The 23,303-nt window shown below is 40.2% G+C and overlaps 1 protein-coding gene across 1 annotated transcript in view, besides 1 other annotated feature; it reads left to right on the top strand.

Annotated features, from left to right (window-relative positions):
• Positions 1–18,369, top strand: part of EXT1 (exostosin glycosyltransferase 1) — a 317,337-nt gene extending 298,968 nt beyond the window's left edge. The window contains exons 9-11 of the mRNA NM_000127.3: positions 5,482–5,642; positions 7,966–8,137; positions 12,962–18,369. Coding sequence (NP_000118.2) covers positions 5,482–5,642; positions 7,966–8,137; positions 12,962–13,147 — 519 coding nt within the window. The 3' untranslated portion in view covers positions 13,148–18,369. The remainder of the gene's footprint in view (positions 1–5,481; positions 5,643–7,965; positions 8,138–12,961) is intronic.
• Positions 2–567: an enhancer, noted in NCBI's record as "H3K27ac-H3K4me1 hESC enhancer chr8:118824531-118825096 (GRCh37/hg19 assembly coordinates)". NCBI's record gives its function as "activates a minimal SCP1, AML or CMV promoter by ChIP-STARR-seq in naive H9 embryonic stem cells {active_cell/tissue: H9 hESC(naive)}" and the evidence as "EXISTENCE:reporter gene assay evidence [ECO:0000049][PMID:30033119]".

Genomic DNA, 23,303 nt, shown 5'->3' with positions numbered 1-23,303 from the left:
CCTGAGGAGCAGCAGGTGGGCTGTTCAGGCAGTCACCTCATGTTGCACGATGCTAATGCTTCTTTTAGCCGTGCCTTGGCAGAAGTTGAAAACATTTTTCAAAACTTCCTACAGCGCTGGTTTTAATCAGCCCGATTCCTGTTAGCACCTTGCTGCCACCTGGCACTCTGAGGCGGGCATCTCCCCTTTGTTGTCTCTGCTAATTGGCTCCTCATTTGCATAACTGGGCCTCACCCCTCCTCCCAGGCCTGCCCTCCTTTTTTGTTTTTAAACAGCACAGTTGTGAGCAGTTGCGCAGAACTGAGGGGAAGGGGGAGGGTGCGTGTTCTGCATTAGGTTGAAACCATGCTTTCCGGAGGAGATAATCCCATTCCTCTCCACGTATCCTATTGCCTCAGTTAGGAGACTCTATGTGGAGCTCTAAAGGCAGCTTTTCTGTCTTGGTTTAAAGAGCTCATTTTCTTTCACCTATACAAGAGCAAACGGTTTCACTTCAAGGTTGTGATGGAGATTCCTATTTCAGATGTTCAGGTAGTTGTGCCAAAAATAAGATTGCCTAAAGAATGCGCGTGGAGGAGAGAGAGAGGAGGAAAGATAGATATGGTAGAAAACCAATTTTTACAACTCGAATGAGTATTGATCTCTGAAACCTTCCTTTAAACCATGCAGAGGACCAAAGACAGCTATATAAAAATGGAGTATATGAGAAATACATTATTAATGGCAACTACTAAAAAGCATGGAGACGTAACTACTTACACCTTTCCCCTCCCTCTCCCTGTCTTTTTTCCTTTTTGTTCACAATCATTTTCCTTTTAATGTAAACATCAGTGTAACCTGCATTTTCCTGGACACCAATCTAGTTCTAATGGCCTGCTGCCCACAGAGCCAAGACTCAATGTTGGCCTAGGTGAACTCAGTGTCTCCTTGAAATTCCACAGATGTGGCCTGACGCGGTGGCTCACGCCTGTAATCCCAGCACTTTGGGAGGCTGAGGCGGGCAGACCACAAGGTCAGGAGTTCGAGACCAGCCTGGCCAATATGGTGAAACCTTATCTCTACTAAAAATACAAAAATTAGCCAGGCGTGGTCCAGGTGCCTGTATTCTCAGCTACTCGGGAAGCTGAGGCAGGAGAATCGCTTGAACCTAAGAGGCAGAGGTTACAGTGAGCGGACATCGTACCATTGCACTCCAGCCTGGGTGACAGAGCGAGACTCCATCTCAAAAAAAAAAAAAAAATTCCATAGATGCTTTCAAGGTGCCATCAGATAGAGTTGCATAGATGTTATGTCAAAGGGCAACCTAAATAATCCCAGGACAAAATGTCCTGGACCTCACCTTGTTAAAATGCTTTCTATGCAGCCGAAGCTCTATAAATACTTGTTGAATGAGTGGTTGGGCCAGGGTGGGGGGATGCATGCTTTGGGGATTAAAGGTGGACACACCGCCAATTGTGTCATGTGTAGGTTGGCAGGAGGAAGGGATGTTGATAAGCTTAACATTCATAGGGAAAGACAGCTATGGAATACAGGGTACAGGTCACTCTGGCTTGCATTTTTCTGCCACTTTCTGCAAGGGAAGCTGGAACACATTCATTCAACAAGTATTTATTGAGAGATTTCTTTGTCCTGGTCTCCATGCCAGGTACTTCAGTTACACAGTTCCAGGCTATATCCATCTGAGTCCTGGCAACAAACTGAATTCAAATCAGATGATTCAAATGAAGGAACTTTGGATTCCTTAGGGAGGTGTAGATGGGGTTAAAAGACCCCATAAGAGAGAATGAGGCACCTGGTGAGTAATGACAGCAGGAAGCAGCTCCTCCCTTTGGCCTGAAGGAGTTAGAGAAGGAACTCCTTCTTTCAAAGGCCCTGAGAGATGGCACTAGGATGGAGAGGCTGCTCTACAAGTGCTATGATCATGGAAGGACGTGGCTACTGCCAGAACTCTAATGGCAAAGGAGAGAGGGAGCAGAGAAGAGATACACTGACCTCTCTCTCTATCCTGCCTCGATTTTCCTGCCGGTGACTCCCATTGACCTAACCCAACCAGGTGATGCAGTCCATAGGGGTCCATTATCTGAGGGCACAGGGCAGGACAAGAAGAGTGGATAGTGGATTTTGGAGGGCAAACACAGGCAAAGCAGCACACCGCCATGGTGCAACAAATGGTCAAGACAACTACAGCATGTACCTTAATCATCATCCTATGACCTGAAGTATTGATTCATCCTCTATCTTTCCCTGGGCACAAGGCAATTAGTCTCACTCTAGGATTGTTTTTCCCTATCCTATGGTGAAATAACTTTCAACTGCTGTGATGCATCCTCATGCTGGTGAATTTCTTTTCAAAGAATAGCAATTCCAACCACTCAATGCATGCTGGGAGGAACATGTGTTGTATGTGAAGTAATTAGAAGTCAACGTGGGTTGAAAATGATATGTAAATCTAAGAGGCTGGCAGTCTGGTTTGCTTTTGCCTGCTGATCAGTGGAGTGGTTGTGTTGCCTAAAATGGTCCTGGGCAAGGATTTCTCTTTTCTCTTTTTTTAGGTGAATAGATGTTGGTTCACTTTTCTTTTCCTCTCTAAGGATCTCAGATTGTTTAAATGTCTCTCTGCAGCATTAAGGATGGATTTTTAAACAGCATCCTATAAAGGGCATTATAGTTGGTTTATAGTTATTTACATTTATCTGGATTGCTGCAGACGCTGCTCAAAAGAAAACAGATGTTGGTTTTTGAGAGAAAGGGCCTTAAACTGACCTTTGCCTTCTTTGATGTGTTAATAATCTGCATGAAATTAGAGCTATCACAAGAATCATAGTTTTATCTGAATTTACTTTTGAGTTCCTTTGAAATGACTTGAAACAGCCTTAAGATAGTAAGAAATTCATGCGATGAGAACACCCCATTGGGTTCTGTAGTAGTTGCTAGTGCATGTGTTTCCTTTTCAAAGAATGATAGAAAACCCCAAAGAGTGCTGACGGCCAGGCTGATCCTTTGACAACAGGCTGCATAATATACTGTCCCATCAGTTGTCTCCATTAGTATTGACCACTAGTGAAAAGGTGTAGGTAATCACAACCTAATTTCAATTTTCTAGCAGATGCTCACCATCCCCTGCTACCTTTTAACTTTGAGATAACGTGCTCCCTACCAAGCTTTCTTAATGTCGGTTCCACCACCCGGGTTTTTTCCCCGCTCTGGATTTTTTTTTTTTTTTTGACGGAGTCTCACTCTGCCGCCCACGATAGGGGGCAGTGGCACCATCTCGGCTCACCGCAACCTCCGCCTCCTGGGTTCAAGCAATTCTCGTGCCTCAGCCTCCCCAGTAGCTGGAATTACAGGCGTGCAACACCACGCCCAGCCAATTTCTATATTTTTAGTAGAGACAGGGTTTCACCGTGTTGGCCAAGCTGGTCTCAAACTCCTGACCTCAAGTGATCCGCCCACCTCAGCCTCCCAAAGTGCTGGGATTATAGGCGTGAGACACTGTGCCTGGCCCCGTGTGGATGTTATAGTTTTGGGGAACAAGCCATATTTTTAAGTCTTCCTTATCTTAAGATAGGGCAGTGTATTAGGATTTTTCAGGCAAACAGAATCAATAGAACATAATATATATATATATATATATATATATTTATACACACACACACATATATATACCTACACACATGCACATACATACATACATACATACATACACTGAGAGAGAGATTTATTATGAGTAATTGGCTCACATAATCCTGGGGGCTGAGAAATCCCATGATCTGCCGTCTGCAGGCTACAGACCCAGGAAGGCTACTGGTGTAATTCTAGACAGAGTCCTACAGCCTGAGAACCAGGGAGCCAATGATGTAAATCCCAGTCCAAGGGCAATAGAAGTTCGATGTCCCAGCTCAGCCGGCAGGCAAAAAGAAAAAGGGGAGGAATTCCTCCTTCCTTCACCTTTGTTTTGTATTCAGGCCCTGAACTGACTGGATATTGCCCATCTGCACTGGCGAGGGCAGTCTGCTTTACTGAACCCGTGGATTCCAATGTTAGTCTCATCCAGAAACACCCTCACAGACACACCCAGAAATCATCTTTAATCTGGGCACTTCATGGTATACTCACATTGACACATACAATTAACCATCACAGGTCCTGCTTTGGAACCTCTGAGAGGGCAGGACCTGGACCTAGCAGCATCCCTCCGTCCCCCAGCTACCATCACAGTGCCAGGACTCAAAATATTTGCGAAACAGATGAAATTTCCATTTGTATTGCTTATCCAGAAGAGATACGGCAAAGATAACGAGGTGAATCATAGCGTGTATAAGAGACAAATTGCTTTTAACACTGGAGTAACAGAGCCAAAAGAGAAGTTTTGATAAAGTACGTAGCACATTTGAAACCAGACTGCCTGAGTTTGAATCTTGGCTCTGCCACTTATTAGCTCAGCAAATTACTTGAACTTATATCTTAGTTTCCCTTTCTGTAAACTGAAGAATGTAAAAGCCCCTGCCTTACAGGGGTATTGTGAGGATGGAATGAGTTAAAATGGATAAGCACCTATAGCTGCACCTGTTGTATTATAACATTTCACAATTATGAGCATTATATGATTGTTTGCTGTCACTATTTTTGTTATTTTTATTTTCTGTTTATTATTTTGATTTACCATTCATCAAATGATCATAGAAATCAGAAGTGAGTTTATGCATTTGAAAACAGATCACTTGCTAACTATAAGTGCTGGTTTATAGCAGGTTCAGAAGCACCTGCTTTGGGCTACTATAAGCACCGGAGAGACATTTAGCTGCATTTCCTTTAAAATAATTCTGTGGCTTCAGTTGTTCTTGTCCCCACTTATTCTTAGTGATTTTCACTGTTGATGCTTTCTTCTAGTGTCTCTTAAACTGTGCATCTTCAAACCTAAGAAGCCTGAATTATGTTTTCTTTATGATACCTGCTCTGTATTCCTGTTAGAACTTGTGGTGTTTTTTTTTTAAAGTTATTTCTCTTACTCTTAAGAGGGTGCTTTTATTTTAGGCACTTTGGCTTTGATATATGCTGGGTATGATATATGTTGTATATTCATTCTTTGGATATACATGGGAAATTTCTCATTTATAAAACAGATGTGTTTGTGTCTCACGTGAATCAAGGCACGTGCACCTTTGAGGAAGGGGGAAAAGAAGCTTTTTCAACTTATGTTTTAGCTTGAACAGACTGGATTTTTAAAGGGCATATCAGCAAATTTTTTTCTTCCTTTCATTTCCATACTACTCTGAAGTTTCTTTAACAGAAAACATTAAAATGTGCATAATTATGGGGCAAAATGTCAAGCAGTCAGTTTAATTTGCTGATGAATACATAGAATTAATGTTTCGCCACAGTCCCCGGATTTTGCATTATGAATTAGTGGGGAGAAGGTAATGTTTTGTTGACATTTGTTAACACTGTTGATTGCTTGTTTGGCTTGTGTTCTGCCTGCAGGTGGATTTCGCCTTCACAGTGTGGCAGAGCTTCCCTGAGAGGATTGTGGGGTACCCCGCGCGCAGCCACTTCTGGGATAACTCTAAGGAGCGGTGGGGATACACATCAAAGTGGACGAACGACTACTCCATGGTGTTGACAGGAGCTGCTATTTACCACAAGTGAGGAATCTGGACATGTCTCTTACAGACTTTACATAGCTTTTTATATTGGCTGCTGCATAAATAGGAACTAAGGCCAAATCTTGTTAACAGCATTGAGGAAAATTAGTCTGTATCCCCGCTTAAGTTTTGCTGATGTGTCAAATGTGTGTTTTTGAAACCAGTGAAACCTCTTGGCATGTTTCATTTCCAGAAATTATGGTAGAGTAACATTTTCAGTTGGTCTGAAGTGTGAAAATACTCTCAGGGCATATTAGGTAACTGAATATTTAGAATAACAACAACAAAAGTAAATACCTAAGTCAGCACCCAAGGGCACTGTTCTAGGTGCTTGGGATTCATCACTGAGTAAAGCAGAAAAAATTCCTTGCCAATGCAGGTCTTATATTCTAACAAAGAAAGACTGTCTACATAATAATTCCATAGTTTATTAAGGAGATAAGTGATATAACAGACAAAGTGTAGAAAAGGATCAAGGGTGCTGAAGGTGGAGATGGGGCAGATTGGGGGTGTCCAGGGTGATTCTGATTGCACAGGTGAGATTTGAGCAGAGACTTGAAGGACAGGAAGTCAAGAGGACATGTGCACCAAGAGTGTTGTGGCAGGAGAACAGCGAGAATAAATGCCCTGAGGCAGAATACTGGAGAACCATCGAGGAGACCACTGTGACTGGGTGGAATGGGTGACAGGAAGTCAGAAAAGTCAGGGGGCATGGATGCACGACCTTGATGTCCATCATGAGGACTTGACTTTTTCTCTAAGTGATATGGGAGGAGGGCAGGGTTTGAACAGGGTGTGACATGTACAGCATGTCACTGTACCGAATACTGTAGGCAGTTTTAACACAGTGATAAATCCTGCAGGACCTTGATGTCCATCATGAAGACTTGACTTTTTCTCTAAGTGACAGGGGAGGAGGACAGGGTTTGAACAGGGAGGAGAAATCCGGCTTTTCTTTTATGCATCCACTGTGGATTCTATGTTGAGAAGAGGCTATAACAGACCCAGAGTTGAAGCAGAAGCCCTATTAGGAAGTGATTGACATTATCTAGGCAAGAGATGGTGGGATCCTGGGACCAGGAAGTGAATGGTGGCCATGGTAAGTAGTGATCAGATTATTTTGAAGATGCTTTAGCATGATGCCTAGAGAGTCTGGATGTAGAGTTTGATGACTCCAAGTCTTTTGACCTGAAACACTGGAAGATTAGAGGGCTGATCAACAGAGATGAGGAAAACTACAGATGGAACAAGTATGAGGGAAAATATATAGGTTCAGTCTTGGACATGTTAAGACATCCAAAAGGATATATGGAAAAAGCTCAGGGGTGGAGATACAAATTTGGCAGTTGTTTGCATATATTTGGTCTTTAAAGCCAGGGGACTGGAGTAAGATTGCCAAACTAGTGAGGGTAGATAGCTAACATTCCCCACTCAACCAGTAACAAAATACCTGCTCTTCTATCATTAGTGAACACACCAATCTTGCCTTAGTCTTTTTAGTAAAGAATAGGGAATTTTGCTATCTCAGGGATAGCTTGGAAATGCTCAAGGCATAAACATTTAGGCTGACTGATTCTTGGTCTCAAGATTTCACTTCTTGAAAGTTCATTGTTCCTATTGCTTCTGCCACCACCACTCTAAGAATTTGATTCACTCAAATGATTTTTCCTATAAATATATGCTATATGTATATAAATACATTTTAAAAACAGTAGGATGAGAAATAATTCAAATTAATTATGGGTTTTCTGTTACGATTGACCACCCCATTAATTCAGATTTTGCTCTAACAGGATTGAAATATATATGGTTTATAGGGCACAAATATAGAACAGTCTATTGTTGGACTCAGAGTCAAGGGATAATATTAAATACAGTTCTGATTAAGCCAATGATTAAAATTGTTAAGCAGCTTTATAATATATAGATCATGTGTAAATAACTTATCTTGCCATCTAATTATTTAGTTCTTCTTTCTAACTCACCTGTCTGATGTTAGAGTTAGACTGGACAAGCAATGTCTGTATGTCTGTATCTCTGTGCCTTGTTTCCTCATCTGTAAAATGGGAGTAATAATAGAACCTGCCTTGTAGGCTCCTTATGAAGACTAAATGAAGCATTTCTTGTAAAACACTTTAGAACAATATCTGGTATATAACAAGTACCATAGAAGTGATAGTTATCGTCATCATCATCATCATTATCATTACCATTCATGACATGTTTAGGGATTCAAAGAATGGGTATGTGTTTTCTGTCTCAGAAGTCCACTTGTCATCATGTGATAATGGCCCCCTGTGAAACCCATCTTTGATTTTTACAGATATTATCACTACCTATACTCCCATTACCTGCCAGCCAGCCTGAAGAACATGGTGGACCAATTGGCCAATTGTGAGGACATTCTCATGAACTTCCTGGTGTCTGCTGTGACAAAATTGCCTCCAATCAAAGTGACCCAGAAGAAGCAGTATAAGGAGACAATGATGGGACAGGTAAGTATAGAAGAGCCCTCTTCCCTTGCTTCACTCACTGGTGGTTCAGCCCCAGGTAATGAGGACTCACGTTCCTCTAGCTGTTCCACCCAGGAGCATATAATGAGGAGAAACCAGGAATGAACTACATCTGAAAGCTAGAAAAGAGTGTATGATTGGTGCAGGGATAATTAGGAAGACACAAGTTAAGAGTATCTTTATGCCAAGGATGTAAAGCTCTCCTATAATCTTTAAGGTGACATGAGAAAGATATGTCTTTAGAGTTTGTCTTAGTCCATTTGGGCTGCTATGACAAAAATACCATTGACTGGGTGACTTAAATAACAGACATTTATTTTTCATAGTTCTAGAGGCTGGAGAGTCCCAGATCAAGGCACCAGCAGATTTGGTGCCTGACAAGAGACTGTTTCCTGATTCATAGATAGCCCTCTGCTCATTGTGTCTTCACATGGCAGAAAGAAGGGCAAGAGAGTTCTCTAGGGTCCTTTTTATAAGAGCACTGCTCCCATTTGTGAGGACTCCACCCTCATGACCTAATCATCCCACAGAGACCTCACCTGCAAATATCATCACATTAAGAATTAAGCTTCAACATATAAATATTAGGGGGCACAAACATTCAGCCCTCAGCAGAATTAAAGCCCTACAAATAACTTATGAAAGTTGATTGTAGGTACCTTATTTAATGTCTAGCAAACCATACTCTCTTTAACACAGTTTTCTGGTGCTTGCAGTTGAGTTGAATTGTGTCTTGGTGACATAACAGGAATCACAATATTTAATTTTCAGTTCTAGAATCAGGATTTAAAATACAGGCAAGTCAGTAACCTTCTGAAACTCAGTTGGCTCATCTTTAACATGGAAATGGTGAAATCTACCTTACAGGGTTGAAATAATATGTTTGAAAGCTTTTATAAAAGTGAAGTAAAATATTGTGTTGAGTTATACAATTTTAGTATTAAAGGTATTTTCAAGGAAATAGAATCCAACATTTTCTTTTTATAAGTAAGAAAACTAGGACCTAGTGAATTTAAGCATATTGCCACAAGTTGCCCAGTAAGTTAGAGACAGAATTGGGAATTGAATCCCAGGGTCTGTGGACTTCACTGCTTGTCCTTGTACACCCCACCATCTTGGTATCAGGTCCACCTGGATATGCCGAATTTCATCTATCTTTATTCATCTTGAGCAGAGCCCCTACTATATGTAAGAAATCAAAAATCTTAGCCAGGCACAGTGGCTCATACTGATAATCCCAGCATTTTGGGAGGCCGAGGCAGGCAGATCACTTGAGGCCAGGAGTTTGAGACCAGCCTTGCCAACATGTCGAAACCCCATCTCTACTAAAAATACAAAAAATTAGCTGGTCATAGTGGTGCACGCTTGTAATCCCAGCTTACTCGGGTGGCTGAGGCACGAGAATTGCTTGAAACTGGAAGGCAGAGGTTGCAGTGGGTTGAGATCATGCCACTGCACTTCAGGCTGGGTGACAGAACAAGGCTCTGTCTCAAAAAAAAAGAAAAAGAAAAAAGAAACAAAAAACCTTAAGAAAGAGCATTAAGATTCACTCACGTTAAATCATGGAGCATCCAACAGGATTGAGGTTAATCTGAATGAACATACTTTAACATGGTTATATTAGTTCAATTTTGAGGGGCTTTGCATGTGCCTTGTTCTCACAGGCATTGGAAAACATATACAAATCTAGCTTTTGCAAAGGAAATCTTAGCTAGGCCTCATGTTAAGCTGATAGTTTTTCATTCACTAAATTTAGTAAGCAAAAATTTAAAGTTTATAAAGAATTTAAAGTTTATAAAAAGTTATTTAGTACTTAGTGAGCATGTTACCAGGCACTGTTCTAGGTATTGGTTATGATGAAAGAGCTGTCCTTAGCAAAGAGTCTGGCAGAAAATTCTGTTTCCTTCTAATTACAGAAAGAACAGATAAGAGGATTTGTAAAAATTTTTAAGGCTGAGAGAATATTCGAATTCAAGCAAGATGTATTGTCTATTATGTGCCCAAACATTTTTATTTATATTTTTTATTTATCTCTTAAGAATGAGGATACATTCTGAGAAATGCATCATTTGGTGATCTTGTCATTATCCAAACATTATCAAGTGTACTTACACAGCCCTATATGGTACAGCCTACTATAGCCTATTGCTCCTAGGCTATAACATATATAGCATGTCACTGTACTGAATACTGTAGGCAGTTGTAACACAGTGATAAATATTTGTGTATCTAAACATTTCTAAATACAGAAAAGGTACAATAAAAATATGGTATTACAGTATATGGGACAATAGTCATCTATGTGATCCAACATTGATTGAAATGTCATTATGTGGTGCATGACTGTATATTATCTCATTTAAGGACATGACATTTTAAAAATATTTTTTTACTCAGAGTTCTTCAGAACACTCACTAAGTGGGGAATTCTAGTCATACAAGGCCTCTTAGGGGGTGGATTTGTGCTATTTTCATAGATTAGCCTAATTCTACCAAACAGTATTTCTAGTAATTCATACATCTTTAACAAAAAAATCTAAATTTAACCTTAGGTCTAACTAGGTGTATTCAGGTACTATATTTGCCCCCTTCTTTCCATCATACACATTAATTTATTGAATGTTTGTATGACCGGTAAAGTAAATAGATATCATCCTCTAGGATTAGGCTTTTATTACATAAGAAAGGCATCTTTTCTAATAGATGTTGGTTGACTCAGAATAAATGTTAACATCTAGAAGCAAAACGATACCTGAATGATTCAACTGAACTTTAAAAAAAATTTTTTGAATAGGAATGAGTGTAAACTCTAGACAGTATTTCTAGTTGCATATATGAGTATTTTGCCTGGGTACAGCACCCTTTGGGAATGAGTGGGCCAATCAAAAATGGCCCACAGGCCGGGCACAGTGGCTCATGCCTATAATCCCAGCATTTTGGGAGGCCAGAGCAGGTGGATTGCTTGAGCTCAGGAGTTCAGGACCAGCCTGGGCAAAATGGCAAAACCCCATCTCTACTAAAAATACAAAAATTAGCCATGCATGGTGGTGTGCACCTGTAATCCCAGATACTTGGGAGGCTGAGACACAAGAATCACTTGAACCCATGTGGTGGAGGTTGCAGTGAGCCAAGATCATGCCACCGCACTCCAGCCTGCGTGACAGAGTGAGACTCTGCCTTTAAAAAAAAGAAAAAAAAATGGCCCACAAACTCATATCCATTTAGGGTCAAAACAAGTTACATTTGGGATTGTCTACTCTGATATGAACTCAACCAGTCAGCTCCATTTGATATCTTTCTCTGATTTATCAAGTAGAGTTCCCCTCATATAAAGGCTGAAGAATGAAGCTTGAGTTCTGCCCCTCTCTAGCCTTGAACAAATAACTCTAACTTTCTTAAACTTGCTTCCTCAGCTATAAAATGGGGATGTTATTACCTGGGTAGATACTTCACCAGATTGTGGTGAGATTCAAATGAACTCCATGAAAACACTTTACAAATAGTGTTTTGTTTGTTATTCTGCTGTTCAGAGGTAACTTGACATTTGTGTTTATCTTCAATGTTATTTTCGAGCATGTTGACACTATGATTCTGAAGTGACTCTTACTGCTTCTCACACTAAAATGTATCTTCCCATGAAAGTATTTTTCTAAAACTGTGAGTACAACAAATACACAGAACACACGTGCATACATATACATCATTAAAGACTTGCCTATTGACATAAATGGGCTTGTGGGGGTTCCCCCATAATTGGGCAGCCCATCTTTTCCATGTTTCATAAAAACAGGGATTGAAAGACAATGTGCTTAGTCATTCTATTTAAATTTCAGCACTCCAGTCATTAAGGCATTCTTTTTAAATCAATGCCAATCATTTGCATGATCTAAAAATATTTAACCAACTTTAGGGGCAACACAGAGAGCTAAAAACATGGTAGCCATCTTTTCTATTTGTCGAGAGTTAATCTTTATTCTGGGTGAGCAGTGATTCTTTGGAGGGCTGATTGCCCTTTAAAAAGTAACCTTTGGGGGTTTTAGTCAAGCAGGAAAGCCAACAATTCTTGGGTTAAGAGAAGAACAGAATTTTGAGATTTTAGTATAAAGTTAGTCATACAGCAACATGCTCTATATACCACTGAATCTCACCTTCTCATCCTCATGGAGTCACGTCAATGGGGAGGCTACAGAAGAGAAAACGGAGTTTTAGATGCTGCGTAACACTAGCCTTGAGTGACATGTAAAAGGCACTATTTTGTTCTTCTTCAACTATATATGTGAATTTTTAACAAAGGATTTAGTAGGACCCTTATAAAGGTAAAGAGATAGTAGAAGGAAGGAAGTGATGGATAGAGAGAAAGATAGACTTCTAAAAGTTGGTGGGTATTTCTAAATCAACTACATAAACAGGAAGGATTTAGAAAACTCTTTGAAAGCAGAAACACATCTTTAATCTTAGTACTTGGTCCCAAGTGCAAAGAGAGGTTTTAGATTGAGTCACTGTAGTAGTCGAGTTTCAGTTGCTAAGTCGTGGACTGACCAGAGAATTAGTCAATAAATTTTAGAGAATTAAAGTCAACATGAATCTTTGTTTTTGTGTTTTTAACACTGAGGAACGTAGCATACCTTGGGAAAAACCAATATCAGCGATTGCATTTTCAGCAGGTGCATAGATGGTGAGACTTGGTGGCCGGGCCAGACCCCAAGCTTTGCTGCTTGCTCATTTGCCTGACTCCATTTTCTGCAATGTTTCCATCTCACCTTGCACTTCTCTCATCATTATCCTTGTTTCTCTCCTTCTCCCTAGACTTCTCGGGCTTCCCGTTGGGCTGACCCTGACCACTTTGCCCAGCGACAGAGCTGCATGAATACGTTTGCCAGCTGGTTTGGCTACATGCCGCTGATCCACTCTCAGATGAGGCTCGACCCCGTCCTCTTTAAAGACCAGGTCTCTATTTTGAGGAAGAAATACCGAGACATTGAGCGACTTTGAGGAATCCGGCTGAGTGGGGGAGGGGAAGCAAGAAGGGATGGGGGTCAAGCTGCTCTCTCTTCCCAGTGCAGATCCACTCATCAGCAGAGCCAGATTGTGCCAACTATCCAAAAACTTAGATGAGCAGAATGACAAAAAAAAAAAGGCCAATGAGAACTCAACTCCTGGCTCCTGGGACTGCACCAGACTGCTCCAAACTCACCTCACTGGCTTCTGTGTCCCAAGACTAGGTTGTGTACAGTTTAATTATGGAACATTAAATAATTATTTTTGAAATGATTGCTATGCAGGTTTAAACTTTTTTAATGATCAAAACTATTAAAAACCAGAGTTCTTTGTTTAATCAAAATTGTGTTGGTTGTGAATATTTCAAAGCTGCTATTCCTTTTCCCACAGACATCATTGTCATGGCCATGTAGGGTGCCCTGCAGTTTCAAAAGCTCAAACTTCGTGGAAAACACAATAAGTCACTCTACCCATTATCAAGAAATAACTGAGCATAAGTTGTAACTTCATTATTCAACTTTGCCAGTGCAAATTGTTTTCCACTTCGAATCTTCAAATCCACTTGAACTTTTATCTCTAAAATGTCGCTGCATGAAAGAAAGTATTACGACTTCCAGGTAGGCAGTTCTAACTGAAATCTCTATGTTTGAGATAGATATATATGATAATCGTTTTTCATTGGGGGGGTGGGGGGAATTAGTACCAAGAAAACACTAGTATAATTAAGAAATGTTCAGTTTGCACAAAGAACTATCCAGATAACCCACCAGCATGTTAGTGAGATGGAAATACAGACCCACAACAGTAACCCAATACTTGCAGGGGTTGGGGGCACGGTTATAGATTCAACCATTGACCTAAGTCTGCGTAGCACTGGGAAGAGGCTTTGGTTTAGAAGCCAAGGAATAATGAGTATATTGGGGAGAACAGATTATTTACAAGATGAACTCTTTAATGTTTGTGAGAATCTCAAGTTTCAGAGTTTCTCTTTTGAGAAAGAAAAAGGGGTAATAAGGTAGAAATTCACACCAATGAACAAGAGGATTGCTGCAAAGTAACTGAGGAGATGTCTCGCCATTGGGACCCTAATGCCATTTTTGGTCAAACATTGTTTTGAGCAAGAATCTGGCAAACAAAATAATCAACAACAAATGTGAATATAGTTTCATTTACTTTTAATTTTTAAATCTGTGGAAAAGTTTAGTTGTGCTTCTTGTTAAAAAGAACATTTCTATCCCTGAAAATGCTATCTTGGGCTTATGATTATTGTTAAACTCCAAGTATAAACTGAAAAAAAAAACATATCCCTAACTCTGTTATGAAAAATGGAGACTTCTGATATTAAATGCTTTCTTCTACTTGGAAGAGGCCAGAGAAAACAGGGAAGAGAAAGACATTATTGAGTTTGACCATGTATTATGCTGAATAAACAATAAGCACTTTAGAGTCCCTCCCTCAAACTCTCATACATTTCATATTTCTTTTCCATTTATTTTCAGTTTTGTTTTAGAAGAAAAGTTCATCAGAGAATTTTGTTCTGATAATTTCAAGTGGCCATCTTAGGTCAGTGGAAACCGTAAGTCCATTGGACTTTACCTCATCCTTTCTTTGTAGACATCTGGGAGAGGAAGAGGAGCTTGTAATGATAGCACGGGGATGGTGCTGTAAACAGGAGTGAAAGTGTTTGTGGAAGTCCAGAGAAGTGACTCAACAGGCTACCTAGCTGCAGAACAAGGAGTAGAGCCCACATATCCAGATGGTGTTTTGAGAGGTGCGTAGACAGTGAAATTCAATTAAAGAGAGGATTTTCTCCTCAGCCTCATGACTCAGAACAGCTCCCTAAATACCTCTCTCATCTAATTGGACCCATCCATAGTCCATTCTCAAACATGTGACATTTTCCCCTAAGTAGATGTGATTATCTCTTAGGCATTTGTTGAAAAATAATTCTTAGGTCCATGGTGCTTGCACTTGTGTCTTTTCTATAAAATGTTTGGTCTTACAGGTTTCATGTCATTTAAGCTGCACTTCTCAGCAAGTTAAAAGATTAGCAGTTAATCTTTATTCATTTGGCCTTTGTGAATTTGTATTTAAATTATTTTTTTCAGGATTGGCAAATTATTCTTGTTTCTCCTTTACCAAAAAATAAATGCGATATTTTGTTCAATGACCCCAAAACCAACTTGAAACTTAGGTGGTCATATTGGCTTGCAAAGCAATGTCCCTAATTGTACCAGTCAGTCACACAAGTGGATTCAAGGACCTGCTTTGCCAGATTGACCTGTCACCAAGCTCACAACACATATCCTCCACAAACAACATGTGTTATGTGAAGAAAAATGGTAATTATAAATAAGAACAGGATATAACACACCTTTCATCCACTTTAAATCTCCACAGTTTCATTTTATGTCATTCTCTGAGCAAATCTCTTTGGGATGTGAGCTAGCGTGTTCTTCTCCCATTTGGAATATAAGGCTGGGAATAGAACAATGCTTAACAAATCAGTGAAGCTCGACAGTAATATGTAATTTTAATTCAGTTAGGAAAGAGTTGTATTGCATTGCAACAAGTTGACAAATCATAGCCATCTCTGTAGGGTGTCAGGAATTATCTCCTGGTCAACTTTAATGATAACTAGGGGTCCCTAAGTGGGCTAACATGTGCTGCATTGGAGAGAAGCCAAGGGCTGAGAGTACAGTGCCAACCACGTAATGAATTGCTTGCAGAAATTCCAAAGAGGACTCAGCCACTTATGGATTTCCACACAGCATCTTTTCCCAGCTCCACATTAAGACACAGGATCTTAAAAGTAATTTTTTAAAAGCTGGCTGTGTATTTATTTATATGAAAGTGTTATAAATATCAAAGCTTACAAATACATTAATACATATCACCTTTGTTGAAGCTAGCAAAATGGCTCAAAATTGAGACTGTAGAGAAAAATCCATGAAATAATCACGATAGTCATACCACAAAAGATAGCATAGCTAGGTGGGCCTACCTGGTCGTATCAACACACTTTCAGATAGATGCTTCAAAAAAAAAGGGAAAGCTTGTTACTGGAATCTTATGTGCATTACAGTTTAATTTCTTCTTGTGACAAATGGTGCTCAAAGAAGGATCAATCCGGTTGCATCCTTCAATTTCCCTTTTAGAATGACTTTTGGTTTTCATTACAGTAGGCTATGTTAGCCTTTATTTTGGTGGTTCTCAAATACCTGGTGACTTGAAAGAGTATTATGCTGGTGGCCTTTCATAAAGGTTACTGAACTTTAATCAGGGGTGAGATGAATGAATGTGAATAGGCCTATATACTATTTTTTTTAATTAAAAAAAAAAAAAACAGGGCACTTGATTTAAGAACAAACCTGTTTAAAGGGCAGGATCAGGGGGAAGACAGCCTTACTAGGTTGGAATCTGAATGAGATTCTTGCTGGACAAGGCTGAATTATGGATGCAAAAGCCAAGCAAACTTCCCAGACCTGGAAGTGTCTTGTGTTCCCTTGGGTCTCTTGAGATCTCCAGTATTTAAAAGTAGCAGTTATTGCCATGAACTCTCAAATAAAAATGCTCCTGCCTCTTACTTGTGAATATAATCAACATGCAGCCAGTACATCAGGACCGCAGTTGCTGAATTCATTTACCTAGTTCCCCTTTACAGCGACTATGGACAAGAACCTTTCAGTTGGTTTTGTCATTCTTGGCCAGATTTAACCAAGAAATTTCTTTCACTATCAGCCTCATTTTCTCAGGCATGCTTACAGGGACAAAGTTGTTTTGAGTTGAGTTCTCAGCAAATAAGCATTAATATCAAACTGTGCTAAACTTGTCTCACTTGGTATAAGAACTTCAGCATAAAGAGATTAGTTTATCCTTTGACACCAAGTCTTTTTTTTTTCTTTGAGACAGAGTCTTGCCCTGTCACCCAGGCTGGAATGCATTGGTGTGATCTCAGCTCAGTCACTGCAACCTCCGCCTCCCCGGTTCAAGCAATTCTCCTGCCTCACCCTGCTTAGTAGTTGGGATTACAGGCATGTGCTACCACACTGGGCTAATTTTTGTATATTTATTAGAGACAGGGTTTTGCTATGTTGGCCAGGCTGGTCTCAAACTCCTGACCTCAGGTGATCCACCTGCCTCTGCCTCCCAAAGTGCTGAGATTACAGGTGTAAGCCACTGCGCCTGGCCCCCCTTTTTTTTTTCTTTAAAAAAAAAAAAAAGCTTGGGGGATTAAGTACCCTAAGATAGTGGTCTCTCCCATCAGTTCAATAATGCTGTACAGAACCTCTGGATAAAAAAGCTGTTATTTACACCATAATTGTGATGATGGATTTGACTCCTCAAAACCATCTCTCCCCTTTTTGCCCTTTCCAAAAATCAAAGGCTTTTGTCTCCATGAGTTTTACCTAGTAGGGATTGTAGTTGTCACTGGTCTAGAGTTCCAATACATTTTATATCAGGAACCTCAGTGAGCTACCCAGAATTGGAACTTAACATGGCCCAGCAACTAGGAGAAGAAGGCAAACCTTGAGAAAGCTGAGCCCTCAGGATAGCACAGTCTCACCCTTGTTTAAAATCAAGTCAGGCTAGCCTTTCAGTCACTCTGGTTTTGTAATGATTTGCCTTTTAGGCCTCAGGCCATTTGATTTCTGCAATAGTTTTCTGTTCTTCTCCTACAGGAATACATCCCTGTCCTTTCGGTTGTAACTATTACTAAAACTAGGGCTATGCAAATGACCTGGTTACCATGTAATGAACCTTGTGTACTTATTTTGAGAGAACAATATGTATAGGATATGTTGAGGGGCAGAAAGAAAGACATCAAAAACTGGAACTATTTTAGGTGGCAAATTGTAACGCAAAAAACAAAAGTATACCTTATTTTGTATACGATGTACACTTGGGACAGAGTTTTCTAATATGTTGCCAATGTTTTTGTAGTGTCACCACAGGTCTTTTCTGAAGTGTTTTTCCCATTTGTTATAGAGTATTAATGACTTAGCGTAATTAAGCCCTCAAGTATGTGTGAGAGAGCGCGTGTGAGAAAATACAAAGCCATAGATATTGATTTACTTCACTGACCTGTGTAACTTTATGTCTGGGTTTCGCCATCCAAGATAGATTGTTTTATAGAGAGTGTCACCAAAGACTTTTTCCTTCCAATTTATAGAAGAAAAAAAAAAGAAATTATTAATAAATGACATGACTTTTCATCTGTGTGGTTTTCATTCCATCTTTTCTGTTGACTGCAGAAAGACGCCAGTTCTCAGGAGGATTCTGTGTGCCAGGAAAGGCCAAGCTTCCTTGGGGGTTCTGGGGTAGACAGGCAGATGAGGTTGGACGGAGAGTGTGCTGGATGTAGGTCCAGCACTCGCAGCCTGGCTGCAGCCCAGTGCCCAACCTTATGGGGAACATAGGGCCGCCAGCCATGGCCATCTTCCAGGCCAGATGCAGCCGGTGCTGTTGGAAGCAGGCCAGGGTGAACAGTGGTGATATGCCCAGTTCACAGCATTCCTTCGCATGAATGCTGGGACAAAGTGGCAGGGCCGAGCCCCAGAGCATCTGGATCCTGACAGCTGTGGCCATTACCCCTTTGGTTTCAACTACTGCATCGAGTTCATGAATTGCTGGCTTGCGAGGCGTATGTCACACTGGCATTTCTCAAAAGAATTTATAAGTGCTCCAGGTGTGTTGCAGCTCCATGATTCAGGGCCACTGTAGTAAGGTTTTATGTTCTCGCAATACTCCTTCCTCCTTTCCTATTTTCCTCCCTCGCTCCTTCCATTCCAGTGGTAGCTCTCCCCCAACTCTGTTACTCTTCTTCTATTCTCTTTCTTTGGGCATTTTTACAGTAAGAACATTAAGTCACCAATTTCACATATTTACAGGAGAGCGAATGGCAAATTGCATTTGGGAGCATTGATTTGCTTTATGACATCAATCACATTTTGTGTTCTGTATTTCACTTTGTCCATCTGTAAAATGGTGACTTTAAAATAGTTACTTACAAAGACTTTCTAAACAACAACTGCCTACTGAGCACTGAACAAGGCAGATGTCAAGGTGAGCTTGGACAAGGCCAGTCCAAGGCAAATCATCAGAGTAGGCTCAGAAAGGAATGTGGTGAACTCAGGTCCTAAGCTGGCACACTGTTATGATAGTGCCACTTGTAAAATCTGGCCCCAGGGTGTGTCTAATGATAGAATCATTCCCAAGTTGGAGAACAAATGAGAAGGCTAGTTGGAGAAGTAACTGTTAAATTTGGTTCTAACCTACCTCACAGATATTTCAATGAATGCTATAGCATGCAAAGATACCTTGAGCAAACCTCAATTACAGATGGTGTTGATTTATGGTCTGAGCATTTCCACTGAGTCCACTCATGAGATGAGAAAATGACAAGTTATGTGTAGATGCCTGCGTCATCCTACGTTAGCCTCCCCTGACTTTGTGCAGCCTCTGTGGTATGCAGGAACTCAAAATATTGGGGGAGAAATTAGACTAGGTTGGGTACTCCTCTAGGCTGAAACATGCTTTAGAGGATACAGTGGAGGTACTCACCTACTAGAGTGGATTCAAGGTTTTTATTAGCTTTTGGCCTCATGCAGATGAAACTGTCCAAGTTTACAGGTTAAAATTACAGTCTTTGGAGCCCAACCACCTGGGATCGAATCTTGACTCTTTGTCTTCACAGTTTTGTGACCTCATTGAAATTACCTGATCTCTCTGTGCCTCAGTTTTTTCAGGTAAGTAGTAGTCTATACTTTATAGAGTTCTCCTGAGGATTAAATGAGTTAATAAATGTAAAGTTCTTAAAATAGCACCTGGTACAAGCAATATGTAGTTTTTACCCATTAGTAATAGTTAATATTTTGCCAAAATAGTTTATTTTAACCTGTTGAAGAGGAAATATTCTTAGTTTAATGTTCAGGACCTTAATACTAATCCAAATTAAACCGTGGTCCCTCTAGTGTCACAGGCCCTCTTGTTTTCAATTATAATCATGTTTTAATGCCTCTTAACATGAAATCGTCATAACATTCAGGAATCAGAAATCCATCAGCAGAAATTGTGCTAAGTCACAATTTTTTTTTTTTGTCTGCCTTTGAGGGATGGCCTGTTTTTCATTCTACTTAGTGGAATGTAATTGAGGTAGCTCAGTACTGAAATGAAGTTTAGGTGCCAATTATTGTTTCTTTCTTGGTGACATACATTTTATAAAGAAAGAAAACATGCTTCTGTCAATATGCAAATTATTTGCCAAGTTTGAATTTCTGTTCCAAACTAAACTGCAAATAACTTGGTTTCCTTGACCAAATATGCTGGTAAAACAGGCCTAAAATGTGTCTTTAATCAGACAGGATCGTAGCATCCCATCTTAGAGCAGAAAAAAATGTTAAGCTATAAAGAAGGAGACTTGGAGGCTATTTTGGCTGCTCCCCAAAGATGTCATTTTAGAACATTTTTTTTAAACTTAATGTATAGAGAACATATTTCCATGTCATTAAATCATCTTATCTAATCAAATGTTAATGCTGCATAGTGCTCCATTGTCTGGCCATTTCCTATATTTCATACTGTTTTCACTCAACTTCTACTCTTGGAAATTTAGGTGTTTTGTAATTTCTTACTATTGTATGGTAAACATTTAAACAACAGTTTAATGTAATGAATGCAGTGGTAAATATTCCTCAAGATAAATCTTTGTTCATATCCCTGACCACTGTTTTAGGACAAATAATAAACATGAAATTGGCAGGTCAAATGTTGTAACTATTTTAAAGATCTTCACTGCATATTCACAATATATTTCAATATATTATAAAGTCTAGCCGGGCACGGTGGCTCACACCTGTAATCCCAGCACTTTGGGAGGCGGAGGCGGGCGGATCACGAGGTCAGGAGATCCAGACCATCCTGGCTAACACGGTGAAACCCCGTCTCTACTAAAAATACAAAAAATTAGCTGGGCGTGGTGGCGGGCACCTGTAGTCCCAGCTACTCGGGAGGCTGAGGCAGGAGAATGGCGTGAACCTGGGAGGCGGAGCTTGCAGTGAGCCGAGATCGTGCCACTGCACTCCAGCCTGGGCGACAGAGCGAGACTCTGTCTCAAAAAATAAAAATAAAGTCTACTAGTAGAAAATCTAAACTTCTCCAATAAAAAGCTATGTAGAATTTAAATAAGGAAATTAGTATATTTATTTTTGGTTGGCCACCAGGTTAATTGCCACGCAGTTAAAAAGAAGGGAAAATAATGCTGAGCTATAATTGCTAAGAGTCTGTGGTTTAATATTTTTTTGATAATTGCAGTTTGGCAGCCAAAGTGTTTGAAATAAATTGGGGTCCAGGGAAGTGAAATTAACCAAGGGGTCCTCAGTGGTTAAGAAAGAAAAAAAGTTGGCTATCATTTCCTTGCAGAGACCAATTTACTGGTATTAGCCATCTTATTGGATGTTGGAAAATTTTTCCTGGGTACCATGTCGCTTGTGTCTTGTTTTTAGGTTGAAACACGTACAAATTAAGCATTCCTCTCAATTGTCTTTTTCTTCTGGTAACATTCATATCAACTAAGTTTTAATTAAAGCATTTTAAATATCACCCCCTTGGCAGCTAGTGCCCTTTCCTGCCAAGAGCAGCCCGTTTTCTCTTAGGGAAACCCACCTCTCTTACCCTCATAGGACCTATGATTTGGAAGATGCTAGTCTAGCCCCTCATCCTTACTCCAAGGGAGATAATAACCTGTCAGGTCACGGAAACCCAATTCTAGATAATCTGTGAGCACTTTGTTGTTGTTGTTGTTGTTGTTGTTGTTGTTGTTGTTGTTGTTGTTGTTTGAGACAGAGTTTCACTCTTGTTGCCCAGGCTGGAGTGCAATGGTGGTGCCATCTCAGCTCACGGCAACCTGTGCTTCCCAGGTTCAAGTGATTCTCCTGCTTCAGCCTTCTGAGGAGCAGGGATTATAGGCATGCGCCACCACGCCCGACTAATTTTTGTGTTTTTAGTAGAGACAGCATTTTGCCATGTTGTCCAGGCTAGTCTTGAACTCCTGACCTCAGGTGATCTGCCTGCCTTGGCCTCCCAAAGTGCTGGGATTACAGACATGAGCCACCACGCCCCACCCTGTGGGCAGTTTTAAGAAGGAGGTCTCATATTTCCCCTAGCATTATGTACACAATAGAAAATGGTGATGATTACACTAGCAGTGTAGCAAGGCTGTAAGATATGCTGGGGCTGACTTCATGGAAGATATGCATTTAACTGACATCTTAAAAAATGAGTAGGGATTTAACTAGCTGAAAAGGGTATGAAGTAAACCTTTTTCTTACAAAGGGACCTAATGGACACCTTCCACCAGAAGTAAGTGGCAGATAGAAAAGTGAGGGTCTAAATCTGTGTGAAAGACATTGTCATAACACAAAGATTTAGTAGGTTCAGTTTGATAGGGCTCAGGATGACTGCTTGGCTAACAGCAGGTACTCCCAGAAAAAATTTAAGTAATAATAATAATAGTTCTCTTGAATCTCATCTTCCTTCCCCCTAATGAAAAAGTTTCAGTGCAAAACACTGAAGTGTGGGTCATATCTGATTCTATTGCACTTGCCAGAGAAAGCATGTGGAGGATAGTAGAAAGCATATTATTTTCAAAGTCGTTAGAGAAGATCTGGCTCTGAAGACTTTGGGCATGAAATAATTGACTTCCAAATTTTTGGTTACGATGTAGAAAGTTACAGGAGTTGCACTCTCATCCTTATAATGAGTACAATGAGTACAAGTTCAATAGGCTGCAATATTGCGGTCAACTTAAAGCCTAGCAGAGAGCAGAAGATGCAAAGAAATTTAAATAAACCAAATCTTAGGAAGACACAATGCATTCCTAGGAGAAAAGTGTCCTATGACTGCTTTCATTCCTAGTAACTCTAGGGTGTTACTCCGTTATAGAGTGGGGTAAGGAGAAATCAAGTAAACTGCTAACAAATTTTTAGTGGCCATCAGTGGGTTGGCATGAGAAATTCAAATTCCAAGGTAATCCAGTCAAATATTGATCTTTACCCACCTGCCAATTTTTTCCCATGGGGCATTCCCCAAGTGGAAGTAGCAGGATACTCAATGCTAGAGGCAGGATAGGAGGTCCAAGAGAAATCCGCCT

Source organism: Homo sapiens, chromosome 8 (assembly GCF_000001405.40).
Source record: "Homo sapiens chromosome 8, GRCh38.p14 Primary Assembly".
NCBI classification, from domain to species: domain Eukaryota; kingdom Metazoa; phylum Chordata; class Mammalia; order Primates; family Hominidae; genus Homo; species Homo sapiens.
This window is presented reverse-complemented; position numbering and strand designations above follow the sequence as displayed.